We start from the raw sequence: 2506 nt of genomic DNA, 5'->3' as shown, positions 1-2506 counted from the left end.
AGCCCAGACCTAGGAACTCCCTGAGCCAGGGCTGTGACTCCCTCTTTGGGGCTCTTTGATTCCTGGCATTTCCAAGCCTCCAGGTGCCACTATATTCCCTGGTGCCAGCTGGGGAAGCTGCTTGCGATATGCCTGGTCCAGCGGTAACCTTGCAGGGATCTGGCACCTGTGCCAGTGCCTGGAGCTACACACTCTGCCACCGCTGGAATGCCTGGCTGTGCCCAGTGGCTGGCTCCCATGCTCACTTGCTCACACACCCCTCACTGCTCCATCCCTGGCTCAATCTTGGCAGGTGTGGGATCCAGCCTGGTAGCATGAGCTGAGTACAACCTGCCAGGCCAAGTGGGTGGAATGAGCCCATCAGGCCAGAGCAAAACTCAGGCAAAGGCACCATTGGCTATAGAGATTTCTGGCTTGAAAAGTGACACCCCAAGGATTCTGTGACAGTGGTATCATCTTTTCGTAGACAGATTTCATTTCTTACTCTTTATTTTCTTTGATGGGTTGTTCACAATAGAAACTGAGCAATCCATCAGAGAAAATAAAGTGAATGAAGACAGCGTTTCAAAAGAAGAAAGGACTGGGCGTAGTGGCTCACGTCTGTAATCCCATCACTTTGGGAGGCTGAGGCAGGTGGATCCCCTGAGGTCAGGAGTTTGAGACCAGCCTTGCCCACATAATGATACCCCATCTCCACTAAAAATACAAAAATTAGCCGGGCGTGGTGATGCACACCTGTAATCCCAGCTACTTGGGAGGTTGAGGCAGGAGAATCGCTTGAACCCAGGAGACAGAGGTTGCAGTGAGTCAAGATCACACCATTGCACTCTAGCCTGAGTGACAGAGTGAGACTCTGTCATAAAAAAAAAAAAGAAAGAAAAGAAAGGATGACTCTGCAGGCAGGTTGTCCTTTCTTCTTTTGAAATGCTGTCCTCCTTCTGGCTCTATATCATTCAGCTCTTTGAAATGCTGTCATGTCTTTGAGATTCTTCTCTCAGCTATTTTACTGTTCCTATTTTTTTTCTCACCTTGGGATGATGTCTCTTTAGGGTCTGATTATTTTGGTGTGACTTTGTCTTTCAAAATATACACTTGCAGATCTTATGCATTCCCATTATCTATATGATCACTTCACTCTTGATGATTATAATCCAAATGTTCAGCTCCAAAGTATAAATTTATTCATTCATCTTAATCTAAAAATAACATATTGTTAGCACTATGATTCACTATGCAAGAAGTTATCCTTTCTCTTCATTTATAGCAGACAAATTTAAATGTTACGATAATTTTTTTCTTTTACAATATTTTTGGAATCTGTCAGCACTGATTATCTTGTTGACACCTTCATCACTGTTTCTATATTATGACAATAGTTCCTTTTCCAAAATCTAATTTATTATTTCCTTCTTCCTTCCAATCGATCCTATAACATGTACCCATGTCAGTCTTCTTTAAGCAATATCTACCCCCATAGTACTAGCCTCCTTTACAAACATCAATGGCTGCATAGTAAAAATATCAATCCAAATTACGGTGTGATGTTTTCAGGTTTTCATAATCTAACTCAAGCAGTTTTATCTGCCTAACCTTTCAAATATAAATTCCCACAATTATTCTTGGTGGTCCATGTATCTTAGTTTTCTCTTCTTGTGAACCAGCCCTCTCCATGATTCTTTTTCCTGGCTCATCCCAAGCTTCTGCCCCATACTATAAAATCCTTGCTCACTCTCTCAACTTCAGCTCAGGGTCCCCTCCTATGAAGCTTCTGCTTATTTTACTGCCCTTATTTTCTTATTTAAGTTTACCTTCTGTGTCACATAATAGACTATTTTTTCCAAGATACTCTGATTATAACTCATTTTCCTATACTTAGCAAGGATTCTGCGAGTCATATTTTGGCTTTGCTCATTGGCTGCCTCTTAGTTTCTGCCACTGGAGATGCTAGAGGAAGACTGAAAAGTCAGAAGAGGGAGAAGGGTTTTGGATCTTATTGTTTTGCTCCCAGTGTCAGGACTGCTTTGTGGTTTTGTCAGCATCATCATGGTGGCACATCTTGACTTTGGTGATTACAGTTTACTCATGGCAGTTGATTTCACTATCAGCTTTTTTTTAACACCCCAGATCCAGCCTCATAATGACCTCTTATTGGCATCAGAACCATCTTTCTTGTAGTCCTTCCTCAAATCTGAGTATGAGATCTATGCAGTCCTTCCTCTGAGGTTCTGTGGCATCTGTTCCAGGCATACAGTGCCCCCTTCTTACAAGTCAGAGCTCCAGCTCCACAGAGCTTCTCCTTTGGGCTTTTAAACATCAATAATTTTAACCTTTTTCCTCTGTTAGCTTAGCCTAAGGGGTTGTTAAGTGCTTCCTGCAGTTACTGCTACTATGACACTTTAATGTTCCTCTGTTTGCTGTAACAGTTCTCCAATAATGTTAGTAATTGCGTTCATTAAAATATACCTGATAAAATAACTGGAGTAGTATCTGTCCCCTGACTGGACTC

The 2506-nt window shown here is 42.2% G+C and overlaps 1 annotated feature.

Annotated features, from left to right (window-relative positions):
- Positions 257-758: an enhancer, noted in NCBI's record as "H3K4me1 hESC enhancer chr9:29968493-29968994 (GRCh37/hg19 assembly coordinates)". NCBI's record gives its function as "activates a minimal SCP1, AML or CMV promoter by ChIP-STARR-seq in primed H9 embryonic stem cells {active_cell/tissue: H9 hESC(primed)}" and the evidence as "EXISTENCE:reporter gene assay evidence [ECO:0000049][PMID:30033119]".

Source organism: Homo sapiens, chromosome 9 (genome assembly GCF_000001405.40).
Source record: "Homo sapiens chromosome 9, GRCh38.p14 Primary Assembly".
NCBI lineage: Eukaryota > Metazoa > Chordata > Mammalia > Primates > Hominidae > Homo > Homo sapiens.
This window is presented reverse-complemented; position numbering and strand designations above follow the sequence as displayed.